Genomic DNA, 25,813 nt, shown 5'->3' with positions numbered 1-25,813 from the left:
GTAATTTTTAGTAGAGACGGGATTTCACTGTATTTGCCAGGATGGTCTCAATCTCCTGACCTTGTGATCTGCCTGCCTCAGCCTCCCAAAGTGCTGGGATTACAGGCATGAGCCACCATGCCCAGCCCAGAATTATTTTTTAAATGTCTTTATTCTTAACAGTGATTGACTTGTGGTTTTTGTCAAGAGTATCTCATAGATAATCTTCTTGTAGGAAAAATTATGAAAGAAGAGGGATATTGAAAACTGGTTTAGTTTTTATTACAAGTGGAAGAAAACAGTCAGTTTGGTCTTAATAGTACATTTCAAGTATATTTTTTATTTTTCTGAAGGGATAACCAACGCTCTCAGTTTTGCTGGAACAGAGGAGTTTTCTGGGATGGGAGACTTACAGTGCTAAATCTCTGGACCTGGACAGTCCTGGGCAAATTGGGAGAGTTGACCACCCAAGATCATACTTTATGGATATGAACATTCATCTTTCAATTAGGATTCATTCAGTTTCATCATTTCGAGCACTCTTATGCCTCAAACCCCTACACATCTCTGTTAAAATAAAATCCCATTAGTCATCTAACTGTCCTAATATCCCCTCATAGTCATTAAATTGTTTTGAAGTGTTCTTAACACCTTCTCCTTTGCATGTGTCTGTTTTCAAAATTGAAACATCAGTGTTTGGAAGGTAAGAACCCATAGCCATAAGTTCTGTTTGCTATAACATGCTAAGGATTTCCCTTTGCCTTTTTATTGTGTATGGAGATTAGCAGACTTTTCTAAGTTCCTGCCTGTCCTTTCAACTGACTCGACTGATTTAGTCCTTAACAAAATGTTAGCCATTTCTAACTGTTAAAATAACTGGCTTGATTGACATTTTAACTAGATGAATCGATTGTTTTAACTGATTGTTGTAACTAAACAGATTCTACTTCTGTGAAAGCCTGTTAGTTTCTGTACAATCTCAACTGTCTTTCTTGTGGCTTCATTTTCAGTTTTTCAGTGGTTATTAAAGTGTTGACTCTGGAGGACTGTTTACAGCTGGAAATCTAAAGATTTTTCTCATCAATGTACACAATAAGGACCCCATTCTTATCTACAGGTAAGATCATAAAACATAATATTTTAGTTTGACCTTGAAAATTGAATTTGAAAATGTTTTGCAAATTCATTATTAAATTTTTATGTTTGTTTGTTTTTTTTGAGAAGGAAAATAAACGAGTAAGATGTAAACATCCACTTTAAGATGTAAGATTTTTTAAAAAGGGTTTTCTTAAAAACTGAAAGCAAATTAATTTTAGAGTATAAAGTGTATTGAAATTGCAATAGAATAAAGTGTTAGTGCAATATGTTCTTAGTGTCTGACTTATGTTGGATTATCTCTCTCTATCCTCAAGGGAGATTCTGGCTAATATTATCATCAAGGAGTTTATAAAACCGTATTGAGGGTCAACAGTGATTCACTATAAGAACCAGTAAGAAGCTGGTTCTTACAGAAGGATAAGAGCACAGTGATTAAGCATACAGGCTCTAGAGCCAGATAGGCTCGGGGTCAAATCCTCTCTCAGCCACCTTGATATTTACTTCTGAAAGTTACCTAATGTCTTACAATTTCCATTTCCATGTCTGTAAAATGGGGACAAAAAATGGTCCCTACTTCCTAGGGTTGCTGTGAGGAATAAATGCAACAACACTTAAAAAATGCTTAGGAGTTTGTCTAAACTGTAGGTAAGTGATCAATAAATGGGTTGCTTGTTAAGCTCATGGTCACAATTTCCACTCTTATCATTGCAATCTCCAACCTCCTACTCTTCTGCCACCATAAGGTGTAGAAAAGAATACACAGCAAGCAAATGCCTCTCTCACAATCTTTCCTTTTTAAACAAGTTTATTAAATATTGAAAATGATGTCTCGAGTGTGACTTCCATAAACTCAACTCGGCACACATACTGCCCAAGGTAATTTATAGATTCAATGCCATCCCCATCAAGCTACCAATGACTTTCTTCACAGAATTGGAAAAAAACTACTTTAAAGTCCATATGGAACCAAAAAAGAGCCCGCATTGCCAAGTCAATCCTAAGCCAAAAGAATGAAGCTGGAGGCATCACGTTACCTGACTTCAAACTATGCTACAAGGCTACAGTAACCAAAACAGCATGGTACTGGTACCAAAACAGAGATATAGATCAATGGAACAGAACAGAGCCCTCAGACATAATGCCGCATATCTACAACTATCTGATCTTTGACAAACCTGAGAAAAACAAGCAATGGGGAAAGGATTCCCTATTTAATAAATGGTGCTGGGAAAACTGGCTAGCCATATGTAGAAAGCTGAAACTGGATCCCTTCCTTACACCTTATACAAAAATTAATTCAAGATGGATTAAAGACTTAAATGTTAGACCTAAAACCATAAAAACCCTAGAAGAAAACCTAGGCATTACCATTCAGGACATAGGCATGGGCAAGGACTTCATGTCTAAAACACCAAAAGCAATGGCAACAAAAGACAAAATTGACAAATGGGATCTAATTAAACTAAAGAGCTTCTGCACAGCAAAAGAAACTACCATCAGAGTGAACAGGCAACCTACAGAATGGGAGAAAATTTTTGCAATCTACTTATCTGACAAAGGGCTAATATCCAGAATCTATAATGAACTCAAACAAATTTACAAGAAAAATACAAACAACTCCATCAACAAGTGGGTGAAGGACATGAACATACATTTCTCAAAAGAAGACATTTATGCAGCCAAAAGACACATGAAAAAATGCTCATCATCACTGGCCACCAGAGAAATGCAAATCAAAACCACAATGAGTTACCATCTCACACCAGTTAGAATGGCAATCATTAAAAAGTCAGGAAACAGGTGCTGGAGAGGATGTGGAGAAACAGGAACACTTTTACACTGTTGGTGGGACTGTCTGTAAACTAGTTCAACCATTGTGGAAGTCAGTGTGGCGATTCCTCAGGGATCTAGAACTAGAAATACCATTTGTCCCAGCCATCCCATTACTGGGTATATACCCAAAGGATTATAAAACATGCTGCTGTAAGGACACATGCACACGTATGTTTATTGCGGCACCATTCACAATAGCAAAGACTTGGAACCAACCCAAATGTCCAACAATGATAGACTGGATTAAGAAAATGTGGCACATATACCATGGAATACTATGCAGCCATAAAAATGATGAGTTCATGTCCTTTGTAGGGACATGGATGAAGCTGGAAACCATCATTCTCAGCAAACTATCGCAAGGACAAAAAACCAAACAGCGCATGTTCTCACTCATAGGTGGGAATTGAACAATGAGAACACATGGACACAAGAAGGAGAACATCACACACCGGGGCCTTTTTTGGGGTGGGTGGAGGGTGGAGGGATAGCATTAGGAGATATACCTAATGTTAAATGACGAGTTAATGGGTGCATCACACCAACATGGCACACGTATACATATGTAACTAACCTGCACATTGTGCACATGTACCCTAAAACTTAAAGTATAATTAAAAAACAAACAAACAAACAAAACTCAACTCAGCACAATAAAGTTGACATCACACTGGATGAAGAAATTCCAATTGGGAAAATGATTGGAGTATGCCAGGCAACAGATGAAGATAACCTGGGGGATTTAACCTTTCAACTAGATCCACGGAATGATTACTTTGCAGTTGACAAAGGTAGGTTGAGAAAAGTTCTTGGCAAATTATATATCCTACCGTATGCTATTGCCGTCTTCTGTTGATCTTTATATTTCCTCCACAGACTGAGTTTCTTGGGGTTACATATCAGTCTTCTTCGTTTTCAGAACCTCAACATGAAGCACATAGTAGATGCTTCATAAACATCTGTTGAATAACTCTCTGTGAGACCCAAGTCTTTGTTCACTTATGAGCTAATAATATGTGGCTCTTCATCCGCTACAAAGCAGCAGTCCTAGCCCTTCACTGAACATACCCTTCTAGCACATCTTCTCAGATCTAACTAACTCTACTCTGTACTTCAGGTCCAAGTTTTTTGAGAGAGAGAGAATCCGATTGGACTTTCTAGAGTCACTCATTCATTCCTCATCCAATCCGCTGTGTCTGAGGCCGGGGGAGGGTCAGATTGTGTGGTATTTAAGGCTTCCTCTAGGGCTGAGTAAAGAAGAAAGGTGGTCATCTTAGCACTTAGGCTGGTTTAAGCCATTGTAGCAGATGCTGTCAATATCCTACTCATACCTCCTCAGGCCTTAACAATTCAGTGCAGCAAGCCCAATTTCCACCTGCTAGTATATGCATTTCTTTGCTTGAGGTATTATTTGGATCTGACATCTGCTCTGCCCTGCCCCACCCCCCAGGAAGTGTTGGAGAAATACTACCTCCTAGGAGTTCTCAGTCAATGAACGAAAGGAATTGGTGCACTCTAGTTCTTTGCCTCTGGTGGGGGACAATTTTGAATGTGCATTCTACACTCGCTTCCAGGGTTCCCAGGATTATTAAATTCTAGCTTCCCACAGTAATGACTTGTTTGATGATGTACTTTTTATTGGGATTTTTTCTTCCTTGTCTCACTTTTCTTATGCCACATAGCTCTGATCACCTCCCAAATAAACTACTTTCACTCTAATCTTTCTTATGCCACATAGCTCTGATCACCTCCCAAATAAACTACTTTCACTCTAATCCCCATCTCAGATTCTGTCTCTAGAGGAGCCCCCAATCATGACAGCCACCATTGTGTCTTACCTGAGTTAATGCTCATTTCTCTTAACTGGGCTTCTTCTTTCACCCTTACCGCCTCCTAGAAGCTCCACAGAGCAGCTAGAATAATTTTTTTTAAAGTTAAATTGGATCATATTCCTCCCCTGTGTAAAATCCTCCTGGGATTTTCCTTTGCATTTGGAATGCAATCCAAACTCTTACCCCACTCCCAAGATATTTTCTCTGGCCCTTGTATCCTTCTCCAACCTCATCCTGTTCCTTGGCCCTCTTGGTCCATTATACTGAAACCAAACAGCTAGGCTGCCTGCCTTGGGATGTTTGCTCTTGTGTTTTTCAGGATCTGACCATTAGACCTTATTTTTAAAAATCACTTTACAGTTTTCATTTTCTTAATAATATGTCTATTTGAATTTTGTGTTTTGATTTTCTACACTTGCTTAGTGTTTGTCTCCCAGCCCAGATTATAAATTTGATAAATGTAGAGATTTCACTTCATTGTAGCATATACAGAACTTAGCACAGTTCCTGGCACATAATTGGCACTCAATAAATGTTTGTCGAGTGAATATGTGGATGGATGTGTGGAAAGAAGCACAGTGAGTTATGGTTCATGTTTTCATTTATGATACTCTCTATCGGGAACGATCTCCCCATTCACCACCATTTTCTTATCCTACATATGTCAAGTCCCCAAATAAGGGCCTCCTCTTCTAAAAAGTCTTCTCTGTTCCCTAAGCCAAAAATAATTTTCTTTTTGTTACCAGCTAACATAATATGATTAATTAGTGTATTTTGGTGATAAACAATTAAAATTGTGCCTATATTTGGAATCACTTTCTTTTTCTGTTATTTTATTTATTTATTTATTCATTTATTTCATGAGACAGTTTCTTGCTCTGTGGCTCAGGCTGGAGTGCAGTTGTGTGATGACAGCTCACTGCAGCCTTGAACTGGGCACAAGCGATCCTCCCACCTACACGTGGCTGACTTGTAATTTTTATTTTTGAAGAGATCAGTCTCACTATGCTGCCCAAGCTTGTCTCAAGCTCCTGGCATCAAGTGGTCTCCCCACCTGGGCCTTTCAAAGTGCTAAGATTACAGGCGTGAGCCACCACACCTGGCCTGAATCTATGTCTTAATTCTAATGAATAGGGCATAATTTTCCCCTTATCTTTTCCATTGTTATGTATGTAATAAAGTAATTTTGAAAATGACAGCATGGATCAGTTTGTAGAAGATGTGCTATTTTGTTACAGAGCGTGGAACTGTGTTTACTGCTACACGTCTTGACGTGGAGAGAGCTGGGTTTGCAAGTGTCCAGTCCTTCTCCATTAAGGCTCGTGACTGTGACTGGCAGTGTGCAGCAATTCTAGTAACTGCCTATACCCATGGCATTAATGACAATTCACCTTTCTGTGATCAGTACCTCATTAGGTGTGCTGAGATAGGTGGGCATGGGCAAGAATTTGGAGTGGGTCGAGAGAAGAGAGATTGCCATATTTATTGGCCCAACTGGACATGTGGTTAATCATCAAATTGACTCTTGTTCATCCCCAGGTAATGGTCCTCAGAAATAACCTGTTGGGCCTATCTGTGTTAGTCCATTTTGTGTTGCTGTAAGAGAATACCTGAGACTGGGTAATGTATAAAGAAAAGAGGTTTAATAAGATCATGGTTCTGCAGTCTGTTCAAAAAGCATGGTGTCAGCATCTGCTTGGCTTTGAGTGAGGCCTAGGAAGCCTTTATTCACGGCTGAAGGCAAAGGGAGAGCGAATACATCACATAGCAAGAGAGGGAACAAGAGAGAGGTGAAGGTGTCACACTCTTTTAAACAACTAGCTCTCCTATGAACTACCAGAGTGAGAACACTCTGGACGGGTGTCACCAATCCCACAAATCATGGGGGATCCGCTCTTATGACCAAAACACCTCCCACCAGGCCCCATCCCCCAACATTAGGAATAATATTTCAAAATGACATTTGGAGGGGCCAAATATCTAAACTATATCACTATTCATTATTGCAAGTTGGATTTCCAGGATCTGACAGTAAGTGGCAAAAGCTTGAATTTTGGAACCATAGACCTAGCTTGGAATCCTGGTTCTATCACTTTTCAGCTGTGTGATCTTTGGTAACTTACTTAAGCCTTTGGTTTTCAGTTTTTTTCTTTATAAAATTGGATAATAATAGTACTTACCTGCAGGATTGTTGTGAAGAAAAAGTGGGATAATTTATGTGAGATTCTGAACATAGTGCTCACATATCACATGACTTTTATAAATGCAATTTATTACAGTTAAATAACCCATTATCTGAAACCTTTGGCATTGAATATGTTTCAAGATGAAGATATTTTTATCTGACTTTAGAAATGTAATAGGATGTGTATATCATATATTATGCAACTTCCCCAGCAAGAGTAATATCCATATACCCCATATTCAAATTTATAGTGAATACTCACACTAAATGGGACAAATAAAGATCTGACAGTTCAGGTAAGGTTTTGAAGTCGAAAATTTCAGGTAGGGTCAGGCTAAATTTTGATGCCAAGTAAGTTATGAAAAAATTCTTAGTTTCAGAGCTTTGGATTTTGGAGTTTGGATAAGGGATGGCGGGTTTGTATTATCGTTGGTAGGAATATTTTTATTATCAGAAACTCAGTCTCCAAACCTACATCTGTGTCACTCTTCTTCCCCCTTAACTCCCTTCTGTTTCTTATTTACACAGAGGACAGCTGTCCCACGTTTCCTAGGTTTTACTCCTAATTGCCTAATCAAAAACAAAATCTAGTCTTGCTAACTACCACCCATGTGGTCTTGTTTGGGTCCCAATTACTCCATCTTCCAAATGGAGGTGATTATTGCACCTACCTCACAGCATTGTCATAAGGATCAAATATAAGCAATACTTGGAATTTGTTTAGTTGGGCTTGGCATACACTCAGTAAATGTTATCCTTTCTGCTTCTCATTTTCTTTCTTCTTCTTCTACTTTTTCTCCTTCTTCTTCCCCCAGGAGAATCATATTTAATTAACCAAACACCTACCATATGCTGCACCCAGTGCTATAGCCCCTAATGGTGTCAGTATGAGTATTTGTTATGGTCATTTGTTGTAAGAAGATTGTATCTTGTCAGAGTGATAAGATGAATATATGTAAAACGACAGATGATAAAAATGTGCAATGACTTCAAGTTCTAGGTGCTGTGCGTTAATTGTTAAGAGGAAGAACACATGAGACTGGAATAATCAGAGGAGCTTCTTGAGGAATGAGAGCTGTTAGCCTTTGAAGGATGAGTAGGTTTTAGAGGCTGAAGGCTTAAGAGTGAGCATTTGAGGCAGAGAGATCCTGATGAAGAAATGGGTAAACATATTGAGATGAAAATAAATCCACTTTGACTATAGAATGGTAAGGATTATCTGTCTTGACCACACCACCCAGATGTTCCAGGTTGGAACAATCCCAGAGAATTATCTGATTCCCACTTAAGACTTCTCCACTAAGGTGATGTCCTTGATCAACTGCCCATCCCAAACAAGTGCCCATCTGGGTTCAGAAAATACATACTCCCAGAAAATGAAAACAATCCTACCAAATTCATAGAACCTTTTGGGAAATGGCTTCTTAGATGGTACGCCAAAGTTGAGCTGTCTGCTCCAGGATACACGGGGCATCTACACACATGCATTACCCAAACTAGTGTATATTTATGGAAAATGCATTAAATTTAAAAATAATATCTATCTAAAGGGATTTTTCTTCTTAAAAAATTAAACAGGCACACACTCAAGGAGGAAATTGCGAAAGATACAGTAGTTGCAAAACTCTTGTGTCGGGACCTTGATGAGCCTCCTGATACAATCCATTATGCTCCTAGCTCAGGCCCAGTTGGTTCTGGACAACTCTTTGAGCAAGTGCCAAATGCTGAAAATGTCATCCAGGTGAGAAACAGTTGCTGTAACTCCAGAGAGACGGAGTCATTTTATGGCCACAGTTAAGATGCTGCTGGTGGATTCAGCAAGAGGAACTCTAACATAGCACAGCGTAATTCTGGGCTCCTCTGCTGTCTTAAAAAATATTTTTTTAGAAATAAAGTTTTGCTCTGTTACCCAGGCTGGAGTACAGTGGAGTGATCATAGCTCACACAGCCTTGAACTCCTGCACTCAAGTGATTCTCCTGCCTCAGCCTCCCCAGTAGCTAGGACTACAGGCCTGTGCCACCACACCTGACTAATTTTTAAATTTTTTTGTAGAGACAGGATCTTGCTGTGTTGCCTAAGCTGGTCCTGAACTCCTGACCTCAAGCGGTCCCCCCTTGCTGGAAGGCATTTGGGCAAGTCCTTTATTATCTTGATGCCTGTCATCAGTTTCTCCTTCTTTTTTTTTTTTTTTTTTTTTTTTTTGAGACAGAGCCTCGCTCTATTACCCAAGCTGGAGTGCAGTGGTGTGATCTCGGCTCATTGCGAGCTCCACCTCCCAGGTTCACGCCATTCTCCTGCCTCAGCCTCCCGGGTAGCTGGGACTACCGGCGCCTGCCACCACGCCCGGCTAATTTTTTTTTTTTTGTATTTTTAGTACAGACGGGGTTTTACCGTGTTAGCCAGGATGGTCTCGATCTCCTGACCTCGTGATACACCCACCTCGGCCTCCCAAAGTGTTGGGATTACAGGCATGAGCCACCGCACCCGGCCAGTTTCTCCTTCTTATAATAAGCACAAAGTAATTTGTGTCCTAGTTAGCTGGGGAAATGAATCAGAGGGTAAAAAGCACACTGATTTCCTTAGAGATTAGTCTGTGTGACTATGTGTGTGACAATGGTTCATTCTCCTGGCACTGGGAGCAGTTGATCAGCTCCTCTTTTCTATACCCTCTGGAGATTATACACTTTCCATCGGCAGATGATGGACACAGTTAAGTTTTCTTTTTGCTTCCCAAGATGGGATTCTGTCTTGGAAGAAATCCCTCCTTCTAACTTCTAATTTCCATAGATCTTTATTTCAAAGTGCTAATCCTTGTTAGATTTTATAACCCAAATATCACCAAGCACCCTCCCCACACTTAGCCAGAAGATATGGCTGAGACCACTGGTAACATTTCTCTTTCTCTGGCCCTAACCCCAGATTTTTGTGACAAACTCCATAAGCTACAAGCTGGCCTTTTGCATATATTGTGAATTTTGGAAGCTTAGGCACTGAGCCAAGAGATTTCCTGGGTTGATGTTCATTTTGAAATGCAATGCCAAACTATCACCTTTTAAAATGAAATTTGGATGAAGATGGAGGTTTTATAAACATGATGCTAAGATTTGGGTCTTCGTATGTTCACTTTATATTTGGGTAACTATCTCCACCATTTCTCACCTCTAATTTATTTTTATATTTGCATAATTGTTCCACAGATATTAAATGTTACTTATTCCTAAGAGCTTCCTTTAATGCCATAACTGGCTTAGTTCTCCCTGATAAGGGCTTGTATTATTAGTTGTATATTCCCTATCAAATCACTTGTTAGACTCTGTTGTAAATGCCTACCTCATTGTTGCTCTTATTAGACTGTAAGCTTTACACATTTCTAAGTGGTTTATTTTTGTGTGTCAACACCTGCTTGGTGCATAGTGGGTACTCAATATACTTGAATGGATGGACAAATGAGTCAGTTTCTAAAATTTTTAAAATGTGGTTCTTCCTGAACACCTGGGTACTTGGTGTCATATAGATCCATTCCAATTTATGCCACCTGAGATTCATGCCTGTGCTACTAAATTAGGACTGTTTTCAAGTCACTGATAGGGGACTATCTTGTTTACTGATATGTCCTTAGTGCCTACAACTGTACCTCAAACATAATTAGTACTTAACAGGTATTTTTTAAGTGGTGAGGAAACATCATAATAAGAATAACTTACATTTTGTATAGTGCTTTATCGCTTACAGAGTACATTCAAAATATTTTCTCTTTTTTTCCTACACTGAAGTTTGGAAAGAAACAAAATGTTTTCTCTTTTAAAATATTTTGCCCAAAATCTCCTTAAGCTGATAAGCAACTTCAGTAAAGTCTCAGAATACAAAATCAATGTACAAAAATCACAAGCATTCTTATACACCAATAACAGACAAACAGGGAGCCAAATCATGAGTGAACTCCCATTCACAATTGCTTCAAAGAGAACAAAATACCTAGGAATCCAACTTACAAGGGACATGAAGGACCTCTTCAAGGAGAACTACAAACCACTGCTCAATGAAATAAAAGAGGATACAAACAAATGAAACAACATTCCATGCTCATGGGCAGGAAGAATCAATATTATGAAAATGGCCATACTGCCCAAGGTAATTTATAGATTCAATGCCATCCCCATCAAGCTACCAATGACTTTCTTCACAGAATTGGAAAAAACTACTTTAAAATTCATATGGAACCAAAAAAGAGCCCGCATCACCAAGTCAATCCTAAGCCAAAAGAACAAAGCTGGCGGCATCACGCTACCTGACTTCAAACTATACTACAAGGCTACAGTAACCAAAACAGCATGGTACTGGTACCAAAACAGAGATATAGATCAATGGAACAGAACAGAGCCTTCAGAAATAACGCCACATATCTACAACTATCTGATCTTTGACAAACCTGAGAAAAACAAGCAATGGGGAAAGGATTCCCTATTTAATAAATGGTGCTGGGAAAAGTGGCTAGCCATATGTAGAAAGCTGAAACTGGATCCCTTCCTTACACCTTATACAAAAATCAATTCAAGATGGATTAAAGACTTAAATGTTAGACCTAAAACCATAAAAACCCTAGAAGAAAACCTAGGCATTACCATTCAGGATATATGCATGGGCAAGGACTTCATGTCTAAAACACCAAAAGCAATGGCAACAAAAGACAAAATTGACAAGTGGGATCTAATGAAACTAAAGAGCTTCTGCACAGCAAAAGAAACTACCATCAGAGTGATCAGGCAACCTACAAAATGGGAGAAAATTTTTGCAATCTACTCATCTGACAAAGGGCTAACATCCAGAATCTACAATGAACTCAAACAAATTTACAAGAAGAAAACAAACAACCCCATCAAAAAGTGGGCAAAGGATATGAACAGACATTTCTCAAAAGAAGACATTTATGCAGCTGAAAGACACATGAAAAAATGCTCACCATCACTGGCCATCAGAGAAATGCAAATCAAAACCACAATGAGATACCATCTCACACCAGTTAGAATGGCAATCATTAAAAAGTCAGGAAACAACAGGTGCTGGAGAGGATGTGGAGAAACAGGAACACTTTTACACTGTTGGTGGGACTGTAAACTAGTTCAACCATTGTGGAAGTCAGTGTGGCGATTCCTCAGGGATCTAGTACTAGAAATACCGTTTGACCCAGCCATCCCATTACTGGGTATATACCCAAAGGACTATAAATCATGCTGCTATAAAGACACATGCACACATATGTTTATTGCGGCACTATTCACAATAGCAAAGACTTGGAACCAACCCAAATGTCCAACAATGATAGACTGGATTAAGAAAATGTGGCACATATACACCATGGAATACTATGCAGCCATAAAAAATGATGAGTTCATGTCCTTTGTAGGGACATGGATGAAATTGGAAATCATCATTCTCAGTAAACTATTGCAAGGACAAAAAACCAAACACCGCATGTTCTCAGTCATAGATGGGAATTGAACAATGAGGACACATGGACATAGGAAGGGGAACATCACACTCTGGGGACTGTTGTGGGGTGGGGGGAGCGGGGAGGGATAGCATTAGGAGATATACCTAATGCTAAATGACGAGTTAATGGGTGCAGCACACCAGCATGGCACATGTATATATATGTAACTAACCTGCACATTGTGCACATGTACCCTAAAACTTAAAGTATAATAATAAAAAAAAAAATTGCCTAAGGTCACACCATTTACATGCAGTAAAGACAGGATACAACCCGTTTTTTATTCTACTTTGCCACAATGCTTTGTCCAACAGTAATCTACACTGGAAGGAAATCTAAGATGTGCCTTTGTTTCACCAAACTGCCTGCTTTTGTGTGTCAGTCTGTGTCAGTCTTGGGTATATTCTGAGACCATCCCTGTGAAATGAAAATGGAGATATGCTTGCCTTTTGCAGAATGATGTATTACTTGAAACACATACATTTAGCTGGGTGTGCAGTGGCACATGTCTGTAATCCCAGCTTCTTGGGAGACTGAGGTGGGAGGATTGTTTAGCCCAGGAGTTTGAGAATAGCCTGAGCAACATAGTGAGACCCCCATCTCAAAAACAAAAACAAAAACAAAAACAGAAAACATGTACGTTTAAAAAATTTGGTCATTTTTGTTCAAAGAAATCTCATTTTATAAGGTTACTAAAGAGTTGGACTATGAAGACCCAGAGATAATTGCAGCTGGACATACCTATGAAATAATGATTTTAGTATTTTATGACCTACTTCCTTCCCATACAGGTAATCTGGATAAACTTTTCAAAGAGCAATAAGTGTCTATACTCTAGACTCTTCAATTTAGATTTTAAAATGTAAAGATCCATCGTGTTTGAGGCAGTTTTTTGAAGTTGGGCAAAGGAGGAAGAGGAGAATTAAGTAGACTCATGTTGGAAGTTTTCATTAGATCTGGGAAGTCTCTTTTGCCTCTTAACAATGCCTTAATGAATACACAATTCTTAAATACCACTCCAGCTAGAGATCCTAGGAGGTAGAAGGGGCAAGGGATGTGTAGAACTAACTCTTATGCTTTATACTTGAATACCTTTATGCTAGTAATGCCAGACACTTCTTACTTGAAAAGAACCATATGTTGGGCAACATGTAGTCTGAACATATAGGTAATAGGATGTTTTAAAAGTATTTTATTTGAATTATTTTATATGACATATATAGAGCCATATTAATGCAAATCATGAGTTACTTGCCAAGTTCCGCAGCCCGGGAACACCTTCATGGAGGTGCAGGGCATGGTTATCCCTCTCTGCCATTTGGTCTTTTCATAACCATCCCACCATTTTGGGTCAGCCTGTGTTAGAATGAGTCTTTGGTACAGTGAGATTAAGTCCACCCAGATTCTATGGTCATAAAATTCTTGGCATTTGTGGATTTAATAGTCATAGTTTTGCTAATTGTAAACCACTCTTTGGTACATATTTAAATTGTGAGCTATAGATCTAGAGCAGAGTACTTAGAGAGTGGCCCAGCTTAGTTAAACACCTGACACCTGCTTCTGTTTGCTTATTGTACTACACATCAGAACATACAAGTGCCCTAAAGGGTCATTTACATATTCACCTATGTATTACCATTTTAAGAGTTAATTTGTTGGCTATAGAGGTATTTGTGAAAGTAGAGATTCTTAAAATTCTGGATACATTTGTTATTAATGCCAAGCATCTATTGTATCTGGAAAATATGGTAGTAAGTAATCGAGCAGTTGGTTGGCATCAAAGATATTCAAGACAATGTGGGTGTTTGGGTTGCAAACATAAGTTTAGTAGTAGAATGTCAGTTCCTGGTAAAGGAGAGCCTAGAATAGGGGTGGCATTTGAGTTTCTTCTCTTGTGAGAAGTCTGAATCATTGGTGGTAATTTCCTGGGTCATTGAGAAGGATTTTGAGATTGCATCTGGGAGCAATGAGGAAGAGTGCTTTGTCTGTCATGGATGGATAAGAGTGGAATGATGGTATATATCTATACGTTTGCAACCAAAGGGAACTTAGGCTGAACTGTAATCAGCACATCTAGGGCTCATTAAATCACTCTTGACTCACGGATACAAGAGTTCTAATGAGGCTAAGTCTACAAAGGTGATTTGAATACTTAAATGACCCAACCATGTGGAAAGATGATGTATAAGGGACAGGGACTTAAGCATGACACTATGCCCAGAAGTGTTCTTGTTGTAGTTTCTCTGTTCCTAACTTGTGTTCTGATGCAAGAAGCCTATATTGTAGCCCAATTGACCTTTCAGGATGGATACACTTTCTTGCAGCTACTCATATTGATTTTCTAATCAAAAAAGAGTCTTTCCCTCTCACCAGATTTGAGCCTTTCCCTGATACGGAAGAGGAAAGACATTTCTCACAGTAATAAATCCCCATTCTTTCTAGTCCCTTCACACCCAACACATTCAAAGGATGTGAATAAAGGATGCTTGTAATAGTGCACAAGTAGTTCAATATATTTTTACAAGCCAGCTAATTAGTATAGTTTTGAGTGTTTATGGATGCAATAAAAATCATTGTATGGCAGAGCTGTAAATGGCACCTGCTCTTGCAACACATGAGTGACGTTCATTGTAGGAAATATAGAGGCTTTAACGTAAATCACCTGTCTTTGTAGAATAGTGCTTCTTAATCTTTCTTGTGGGGCATGAACACTTTTGAGATTCTGATAAGAGCTGTGGATCCTATCCCTTGAAAAATGCACATAACAACACATACCAAAATTCAATGAATGTCACAGATTCTCTGAAGTAAACGTTCTATGAATCCTACGAATCCTAGATTAAATTTTCTTATTTGACACACGTGGCATGGATTTTCAGTAGAGGCAATACCAGCACTCTTCAGAACATGAATTCCACAAGATAATCCACTAAAGAAGAATTCTTTGGTCAAATAAATTTGGGGAGCAAGGCATACCTGGAGATTTATCATATATAATGATATATTGGAGATCTGAAGAAGTCTTGCCAAAAAGAAACCTTTTACCTCTGTTTCATTAGGATTCTACTTTTGACACATTAGCATCTCAAAGAAGATATTTTGGGAGATGCTGGTGAACATAGCTTGGTTTAATACCCATCTGGTGACTTATGAGTTTTGTGATCTTTGTCTAAGAACTGAACTCTGTGAATCTCAGTTTTCTTGCCTGTGAAATGGGGACAATAATACCAATGGCAAATCAGTACCTTTTACAGTAAATGTTAATTATTATTTTACCTTTATTAAAATTTTTCCGTGTTTGCAAGTTTCTTGCTTTTATGTTGAGACATCAAGTTCCTTCTTTTTGACAACTCTGTAATGATAGTTTAAGCTTGTTTGTCTGAAATACAGAGTTCATTTTTGGTAACACACAATATACAAACATTTGGCTGAGGTGAATAAAATGTAATAGCTGCCTTTTTACTTAACCTTTTATAGTTTAAATATACCTTCTTGGGCACGATCTTATTTTGTCTTCATACCCACACTGTGATGTAGGAGATTGAAACTGATGTTATTCCTTTTTTTTTCTTTGATGAGGAAACTGATCCTTGGAGAAATTAAGCTAGTTCAAGGCCTCAGGGTACAGGTGAACCATGAATAACATGGGTTTGAACTGTGAAGGTCCATTTATATACAGATTTTTTTCAACCAAATGCAGATCCAAAATACAGTATTCAGTATGAGAAACCTGCATGTATTAGAGTGGCAACCTTTTGTATTCACAGGTTCTGCAGAGCTGACTGCAGGACTTAAGCATGTGCATGTTTTGTTATATGCCAGGGCCTTGGAACCAGTCCCCGTGTATACTGAGGAACAGCTGTACGTGTTCAAGGCTAAGCCTTGAACGTGATTTTCTGAGTCTCTTTCCCTTCCACTTTCTAGGATATACATTAAAAGCAGAATTGAGAATGTCACATGCTGGGTTGAGAATGACACGCCAACAAACTCTCTAATGGAGGAGACTGTACCCATGAAAAATGCAATAAACTATCTTGTGTGAAATATATAATTGTATATTTTAAATGATGTATATAAATACATGCATATTTCTACTATACAAAACAAAATATACCATGCAATACATTATGTATTTTTCACTAAATTGCTTTGGCTAGCACCAAAATTTATTTTGGTTCCTTGAGAATGCAGTCTGGGAGCAGGGGTTGCTTGGGAGCACAGAGAATCCCACTGCAGTTTCAAAATTCCTTGCTAAGCCTGTTCCTGGGGGGACGGGGAGCTTGTTTGTGGAATAAAACTACAACAACAAAGCATTTATTCAGTGTTCAATTTCACAGCAACTGTGACCTTCATTGTGAAGGTTGCTCCTGCCAGTGACTTCAGCCCTGTATTTAAAGCTGCACACTATTCATTCTCTGTTCCGGAAACGTTGGGAGGTAAGAGATTCCCCAAGTCTATGGTGTTGAAACATGCAGAAGGAAACACCTACCACATTTCAAATGAATGGCCAGTGGAAAAAAGCATATACATTTACAAAATGCAAGCAAATAAGAGAGCATTATGGAATCCCAGACACTCAAGAACAAGGCACTTTTCGTTGGTAACACCTTCAGTGTATCATTTTGATGGCTCCCCGAAGACTTCCTTAACATTTGATGACGTAGGATTTTTGTAATAAAAAATTACACAATACTAATTTTATTCCATTTATCTTCCCCCTTGCCTCTAAATTAGATCTAAATGCAAAGAAGGTAGAAACGATGTGCTCATTGTCCACGCAATTCAATCCTGTGAATGTCTGGGGTCATGATTTTAGGTCCAGAGTCAAGATCTTAGTCAGGGTTCTTTTTCAGCCATTTATTACATATTAAGTAGGACACATTTGTTAGTATAGATCAAGGAACGTTAAATTTAGAAGAGACAGCAGAGGTCCTACTTGTATCTTCTGTCATCTAAGAGAGGAACACATCCTTTCTTCAGCATCTCTTTCAGGTTTGACTTGAATACTTCAAGGGATGGATGGAACCAGTTGTGTGCTAGAGTTGAATCATACTGGCTTGCAAGATCCAATTGTTAAATCTGCAGGAATTTGATAACCTGATTATTAATAATATTCTTAAAAATAAATTAATAAACTTAGTTATAAAAGTTATGTTAAAAGTTAGTAAATGCTAAAAACTCAGTACTTCTTAATTATGTTACTACATTTTACTATTATATTTGCCTTGAGGTTATTCACATCTGTTGGGACTGAATGGTGAAATTCCATAAATAGAATGGTGAAATTCCATAGATAGAATGGCATGCTACTGCATTTCTCTTTCCAAGTTAGCAATAATTATTGAAAATTTAAAATTGAAAATGGTGAGAGCATTTATACCATAGAAATCAACAAACATTACATATTAAAACTTGATTCATAGTTTTTAAAAAAAATTATCTTGTCTTAAGAAATTGATAGAGAAAATGTTAATAATACAGATTAAATGTAAAAGTCTGACTGGATTAAGAAAATGTGGCACATATACACCATGGAATACTATGCAGCCATAAAAAATGATGAGTTCATGTCCTTTGTAGGGACATGGATGAAATTGGAAATCATCATTCTCAGTAAACTATTGCAAGGACAAAAAAACCAAACATCACATGTTCTCACTCATAGATGGGAATTGAACAATGAGAACACACGGACAGAGGAAGGGGAACATCACACTCTGGGGACTGTTGTGGGGTGGGGGGAGGGGGGAGGGATAGCATTAGGAGATATACCTAATGCTAAATGACGAGTTAATGGGTGCAGCACACCAGCATGGCACATGTATACATATGTAACTAACCTGCACATTGTGCACATGTACCCTAAAACTTAAAGTATAAAAAAAAAAAGGTCTGAGATTATTGTTGTGAGTGCACAAAAATTGTGGAAATAGTCTTCTAGCAATCAAAAACTGTTTTCCAATTCAGCAAATAAGCCATTCCCATCATTGATGAGCTAGTGAAGTTCTGCCACGGCTTCACTTTCACCTTACTCTTTAATACAAAGGAAAATATCAACTAACATTCATGTTGGCACTACTCATTTGTCATTTGCAATCATAGTGTGGCAATGTGTAGGACAGTTTGTGAATCAGTGAAAGCATTCTATGAAAATCAATTGTCTATATGGAAATTTACAATACAGAGTATTTTATATCTCATCGTTAACTGTAAATTTTACATTCCCTATCTTTTATATCAGTAAAATTTATAACAAACATATATTTATGTGAATATGTGTGTGCATGCACACGCACGCATGTGCGCGCGCACACACACACACCAGTTTTTTTTCAGAGAGTTGGTTTTTAAACATTTGCCAGCATAACACTGGGTGGAACCCACACTACTTCAAGCCAGCTTATTTCCTTGCCAGACAACTGCAAATGTTGAGAGACTAGGAAATCAAACGTTAGACAAATGTTCTGAGGAAAGACTGGAAAATCAAAAGCCCACACATTTGAATTTCTTTCTTTCTCTCTTTTCCTTTCTTTCTTCTTTTCTTTCTTTCTTCCTTCCTTTCTTTCTTATTTTTCTTTCTTTCTTTCCCTCTTTCCTTTTTCCTTTTTCCTTCCTTCCTCCCTCTCTCTCTCCTTCCTCTCTCTCTCCTTCCTCCCTCTCTCTCTCCTTCCTCCCTCTCTCTCTCCTTCCTCCCTCTCTCTCTCCTTCCTCCCTCTCTCTCTCCTCCCTCCCTGTCTCTCTCCTTCCTCCCTCTCTCCTTCCTTCCTTCCTTTCCTCCACCTCCTCCTCCTTCTTCTTTTTCTTCTTCTTCTCCTTCTCCTTTGTCTTCTAGTTCTTCTTCTTCTTCTTCTTCTTCTTCTTCTTCTTCTTCTTCTTCTTCTTCTTCTTCTTCTTCTTCTTCTTCTCCTTCTTCTTCTCCTCCTCCTCCTTCTCCTTCTTCTCCTTCTCCTTCTCCTCTTATTTCTTTCTCTCTCTCTCTCTTTCTTTTCTTTCTTTCCTTCTTTCTTTTTCCTTCCTTCCTTCCTTCCTTCCTTCCTTCCTTCCTTCCTTCCTTCCTTCCTTCTTTCTTTCTTCTCACTCTGTTGCCTAGGCTGGGGTGCAGTGGTGCAATCACATTTCACTGCAGCCTAACCCTCTTAGGTTCAAGCAATCATCCCATCTCAGCCTCCCAAGTAGCTAGGACTACAGGTGCACACCATCATGCCCAGCTAATTTTTGTATTTTTTGTAGAGATTAAGTTTTGCCATGTTTGCCAGGCTGCTCTTGAACTCCTGGGTTCAATCAATCCTCCTGCCTCCACCTCCCAAAGTGCTGGGATTACAGGCATGAACCACTGTATCTGGGCTGTACTTGGATTTCATTTCTTTGTTTTTCTCACTGTGCAGCTTTGGAGAAGTTCTTAACGTCTCTGTGAAATAAATACACACCTATTATATCCTGGTTCTGGAATATAATACAGTCTGATTTTGCAATATGTGACCAGACAATCCAGAAAAGTTACATATAAATTGAATGTATTGTAAACAGGATTCTGGTCCCCTCTCACCCCCCCATTCTGCCTATGGGCTTTTGGAAGTACTCAATATTGATTTTTGAGTAATCTTTTATTGATAGAGCCTCATTACAATGACTTCTTTCCTTTCTTCATATTCTTCCATTTCTCTGTGGTGGTCAATAGTGTAATCTTCTAGCTCCAGGGAGTTCTAGAGTTAAAAGAGCATGATGATGAGTCAGAAGTTGAGTAGTTCACAATCATCTAATCATTTCCTGGCTTATAAATCCTAAATATGGAGCAGAGGGTGTGAACATGGGCTTTGAGAATCTCTGGGGGAAAAGCTCCATAGGCTTTATCAAGTTACAAAAGGGATTCCATGACCTCGCAAAGTTAACAGAACCAAACAAGATTTTAAAATAGATACTTGCATTTTTAAAAAAAGATACTATTTTTTTAGAGCAGTTTTAGGTTCACAGGAAAACTGAGGGGAAAGTACAGAGATGTCCTATACACCCCTTCCCCCGCGACATGCAGCTTCCCCCATTATCAACACCCCTTGCCAGAGTGGTGCATTTTTACAATTGATGACTCTACACGGACACATAATTATCACCCAACGTTAACAGTTTACACTGGGGTTCACCCTTGGCATTATATATTCCATGGGTTTGGACAAATGTAAAATGACATGTATCCACCATTTTACGATTATACAGAGTAGTTTCACTATCCTAAAAATTCTGTTCTCTTCCTTTTTATCTCTCCCTTCCCCCAATCCCTAGCAACCACTGATCTTTTTACCATCTCCATAGTTTTGCCTTTGAGACTGGCATTTTTAAAAATGCCATTTTAGGAGAAGCAAGTGTTTCATGTCAGTTTCTTTCCAACTAACTGAAGTTTTCCTGAAATTTAATTTATGTTTGAAGGTAAAACCCTCTAAATGTATTGAACACTTACATGTTTTCTTAAGTGTAATTTAATACTTTATTGATGGCTGAGAAGAAGGATTGAGAATTTTCAGTCATAATATTGTTGATTTGGAACAGCTGAAGGATTCAACCTCTTTTTTTTCACTATGAGGAAATTGGAGTGGAGAAAGAAATGAGTTTATCCAAAGTTACACAGCTAATAAGTAGCAGATGTTGTAGCTAAATGAAAACTTCCAAATTCCTGGTCCAGTTCTCTGTTTAGTATTACAGGCTGGTTTTCTTGGATGCATTTTTATGACTGAGACCAACAGAGATCTGAAAACAAGTTCTGAGAATTCATACAAAGAGTTAAGTGGGTACTGTTTTCCAAATAGTTGTCTAGTGACTTGCTCTCCCAGACAGAGGACTCCTAGGTCTTTAAAAGGGAGCACACTGATATAGCAAAAAACTATGGGAGCTAGAGCTATATAGAACTAGATTTAAAGCGGACTCTGTTACTGCTAGTTAAATGACTCAAAGCAAGTCACATAATCTCTATGTGTCTTCAAGTTCTCATCTGTAAAATAAAGATTGCAATAATTATTTTATGAATTAAGAGGAGGATTAGCACACCATTGCAAATAATAATCACTATCATTTATTGAGTGCTTACAATGTAGAATGTGCCAGAACTTTTCCCGTTCTTTTCTTTTCTTTTTTTTTTAAAACAAACAAACAAACAAACTCTCTTCATCTTCCCCAGCAGAGTACATAAACCGAGTAAATTTAGTACATAAACAGAGTACATAAACTGAGTAAATTTAGGTGAGAGTTGTTCTTTGAGATGATGTCTTATCTCAAATGAGATGTCTCATCTCAAATGATGTCCATCAGAGGAGATAAATCTTCACAATCAGTGGAAATTTGCTTTAAAGGAGGAAATTGGGAAGGTAAAACTACTCAGAAAATGAACTATCCTAGTAATATCAAAGGTTTAGCCTATAGACTTTGAGGACATTTTAAAAAATCCATTAATGTGGAAGTCTTTTTCATGCTGTGTGGATTAGCACAGAAAATTTGAGTGTATTTGAGAACTACATGAGTTTTTCTCCCCCCAAATTATGGAAATTTATAATATTTATAGTAAATTTTTTCTAAAGGTAAGTGATAAATTCACAAACACTTCTAGAGGGGGTTAGCAATAGGCAAAAATATTTCTTTATCAGAAATTATTTAGAAGAGAATACATGATAATTAAATCACACTGGGTTGCAAGTCACAAAGCAAAATATATTTTATTTCCAATAGTTTTTGATGAGGTATTTGGCAGAATTGCAGAATTTCATAATTACTCTATTTTAAACTTCAGCTAAAGATGCTCAGTATAGCTTTTAGTTTTTATTGAAAGGTTAATTTTACACTTACAGAAGAATAAGCTTCCTATTATACTTATTCAGGTGTTAAATGTGAAAATGACACCATCTTTGCCCAGGACTGTCTAATAGAGATGGCAGTTTTACCAGTAATCTATTTTATGTGGTCTTGTATCAGTTGTGACGCTATTCTCTTAGTACGAATTATTTCATGCGAGCAATAGGTTGGACTCTATATTCTGGATTTGCCACAGTAAAACACATTCTTTTTCATGAGTATGGTTTCTCTGTTTTTGGTATTATGAGGTGTGTTCATTGCCTGCTTAATAACACATTATTAGGCAGGGCATGGTGGCTCACTCCTGTAATCCCAGCACTTTGGGAGGCTGAGGTGGGCAGATCACTTGAGGCCAGGAGTTCAAGACCAGCCTGATCAACATGGTGAGACTCTGTCTCTATTAAAAAATAATAATAACAAACGAAAAATAACATATTATTAGAGACTGATAGGGAACCTTGGTAAAAGGAGGATACAAACAGAGAAAGAAACCTTACTAGGTTGAAAGTGGCGGGCACAGCAATGAAATGATTGCTTTATATTAATTTTTTATTCTTGGTTATTAGCAACCAAAATGTGCTGTACTTGTGTTAGTGAGCCAGCCATTGTATAGTGGTATTTCACTAAATGGTAGAGATAAGATGCCTGCCCTGGAGTTTACAGTTCAGGCAAAAATGATTGAGGGGTAAACTTGTGGTGCCAGTTACCTACTACTGTAAGTATGCTATGTAATAAGACCCACAAAATATTAGTGTAATACAACAATAAACACTTATTTAGCCCATGAGTCTAAGAAGTGGCTGGCTTGTCTCTCTGGTCATGGCTGGGCTTGCTCAAAATTGTGAGTTGGCTAGCTTTCAGCTGATCTATTCTGGCTTCGGCTGGGGTGACTGGGAAGGTTGGCTCCTCTCTCATCTTCCAGCAGGCTAGCCTGAGCTTGTTTTCAGGGAAAAGGAGGAAGTGCAAAGAGGCCAGTCATGGTGGCTCGTGCCTGTAATCCCAGCATTTTGAGAGGCCTAGTTAGGCGGATCACCTGAGGTCAGGAGTTCGAGACCAGCCTGGCCAACATAGTGAAATCCTGTCTCTACTAAAAATACAAAACTTAGCTGGGTGTGGTGGTGGGCGCCTGTAATCCCAGCTATTCTGGAGGCTGAGGCTGGAGAATCGCTTGAACTCAGGAGGTGGAGGTTGCCGTGAGCGGAGATTGCCCCACCGCACTCCAGCCTTGGGGACAGAGCGAGACTCCATCTCAAAAAACAAAAACAAAAACAAAATTAGCCAGGCATTGTGATGGGCACCTGTAATCCCAGCTTCTTGGGAGGCTGAGACAGGAGAATCACTTGAACCCAGGAGGTGGAGGTTGCAGTGAGCTGAGAGCCGAGATCATGCCACTGTACTCCAGCCTGGGTGACAGAGCCAGACTCCGTCTCAAAAAAAAAAAAAAAAAAAAAAAGAAGTGCACAAGAAAGGCAAGCCTGATCATGCAAGTACCTTTCAGGTTTCTGCTGGCATCAGATTTGCTAATATCCCATTGGCCAAAACAAGTTGCGGGCTGGGCCCCAAGTCAGAATTGGAGGGGCACTAAGGGGTTAAATGGCAAAAAGCATGAACATCGGAAGGATAAAGAGTTTGGGTCTAGACTGGGTGCAGTGGTTCATACCTGTAATTCCAGCACTTTGTGAGGCCAAGGTGCAAGGATTGCTTGAGCCCAGGAGTTTGAGACCAGACTTGGCAACATAGCGGGACCTCGTCTCTAAAATTTTTTTTTTTTAATTACTTAGGTGTGGTGGCATGCACCTGTACTCCCAGCTACTCAGGAGGCTGAGGCAGGAGGATCACTTGAGCCAGGAGGTTGAGGTTGTAGTAAGCCATGGTTGCACTACTGCACTCCTGCCTGGGTGATGGAGTGAGACCCTGTCTCAAAATAATAATAACAATAATAATAATAATAGTAATTTGAGCCTATTTGTTATGCAGCCAATAGATCATACCCATTTCTCTTCTAAGAGATTATCTGGGGGTATTGCACACTGGAATTACAGAAAGTGATTTTAAAAATATGGGCTGTAGAATCATCAGGTACCAGTTTAAATCCTGATTCTACCACTATTAGCTCTGGACAGTGAGCAAGTTACTTAATACCACTAGACCTAATTTCCTTATCTATAAAATGAGGACTGTAATAGTGGATATATAATAAGCCTGTTGAGAAGATTCAATGAGATAATTCAATTAAATAATAGCTAATTTTTACTTAGTATTTACTTACATACCAGGCACTATTCTAAGTGCTTTATACATTTTAGCTCATTCACTCCTCACAACTTTGTATGGTAGATATTATTCCTAGTTTGCAGATAAATAATATGAGGGCTGGAGCGGTTGAAGAATCTTCCAATGAGTTGCACAAATAAATGATAGACCTGAGACTTGAAACCTAGGAAGTCTGGTTTCAGAGTCTGGGCTGTGAACCGTTATCTGATGCTAATCTTAGCATGATGCCTAGTAGAAAATATTCATGCAGTGCATGTAAGCTAATCATTATTATTATAAAGTTACTGTTAACTTATGTTATTTGACTCAAGGCAAATGGTTTAAAGTGATAGAGGACTTTCTCTGAATTTGTTTTCCGTTATGTTGAGTTGAAGGTCTTCAAACATATTTCATTATCCAAAAGAATAGAGGCTGATCCTTTGAGAAACTGTGATACTATTTGGTAGGCAAAGACATGTTAAGTTTTTTTTAAAGCAGTGTATCTGCATGATGAGAATGAGCCTTATAAAATGTTATTGGCAGCATTCTATAAAGTTGGAAGAGTGATTGCCATTGATGAAGAGCACCCACCAAATTGTGTGACATACGAAATAGCCAATGGAGACACCCAGGTTATACAAAGATTCTGGATTCATCCTCTCTCTGGAATGATCGAACTTACCACACAGCCAGACTGTGAGTCTGTGAAGCAATATAACCTCACCGTGGAAGCTGTGGACTGTGACAGATTTCACCCTTGTACAGCAATGACCATGATAAGTAGAGAGACCCAGATTTTGACATTATAGAGATGCTCTATTAAATTCTAATTTATTAAAATCAGACTGGCCAAACAGTTACAACAATGGAGAATAGAGAAGCTCATAACTTTCTCTTACTGCCTAAGCATTCTGTAACTTTTGCACATGTTATACTTTAAAAGTTTGAGGCATGTTTGAAAATGAAGAACCTGCTAATACCCCTCATTCTGATGAAAATAATAAACTTATAATAATGTCAAATATTCACCTAGTACTTACCGTGTGTTCAGTTCTAGACACATTATATATATTGACATGGTACAACTTCACCTTAAACTTTTTAGGTAGGTAATAATATACTATAATCATTTTCACCCTACAGGTGAGGAAACTGAGGGACAGAGTTTAGAAAACTTCCCTTAATTCCCTAATTATAAGATTTGTAGAACTAGACTTAAATACAGTCTGCCCCTTGTTAAGAGGTGATGTTTGTAATGAAGGTAGTTAACCAAGGTGCATTCTTTTGGCATCAAAGTGGGGGAAGGT

The 25,813-nt window shown here is 38.5% G+C and overlaps 1 protein-coding gene and 1 pseudogene across 3 annotated transcripts in view; one reads left to right on the top strand and one right to left on the bottom strand.

Annotated features, from left to right (window-relative positions):
- Positions 1–3,821, bottom strand: part of C3orf49 (chromosome 3 open reading frame 49) — a 68,930-nt gene extending 65,109 nt beyond the window's left edge. The window contains exon 1 of the mRNA XM_047447470.1: positions 3,741–3,821. The gene's annotated coding sequence lies outside the window, so the exon portion shown is untranslated. The remainder of the gene's footprint in view (positions 1–3,740) is intronic.
- The window catches only part of CDHR18P (cadherin related family member 18, pseudogene), a 55,641-nt pseudogene extending 30,110 nt beyond the window's left edge, over positions 1–25,531 (top strand). For both annotated transcript variants that reach the window (NR_197414.1, NR_197413.1), the window contains 3 exons: positions 990–1,096; positions 16,757–16,855; positions 25,050–25,531. The product of NR_197414.1 is annotated as a cadherin related family member 18, pseudogene, transcript variant 2 (transcript). The remainder of the gene's footprint in view (positions 1–989; positions 1,097–16,756; positions 16,856–25,049) is intronic.
- The last annotated feature ends 282 nt before the right edge of the window (positions 25,532–25,813 follow it).

This window comes from Homo sapiens, chromosome 3, assembly GCF_000001405.40.
Source record: "Homo sapiens chromosome 3, GRCh38.p14 Primary Assembly".
NCBI lineage: Eukaryota > Metazoa > Chordata > Mammalia > Primates > Hominidae > Homo > Homo sapiens.
This window is presented reverse-complemented; position numbering and strand designations above follow the sequence as displayed.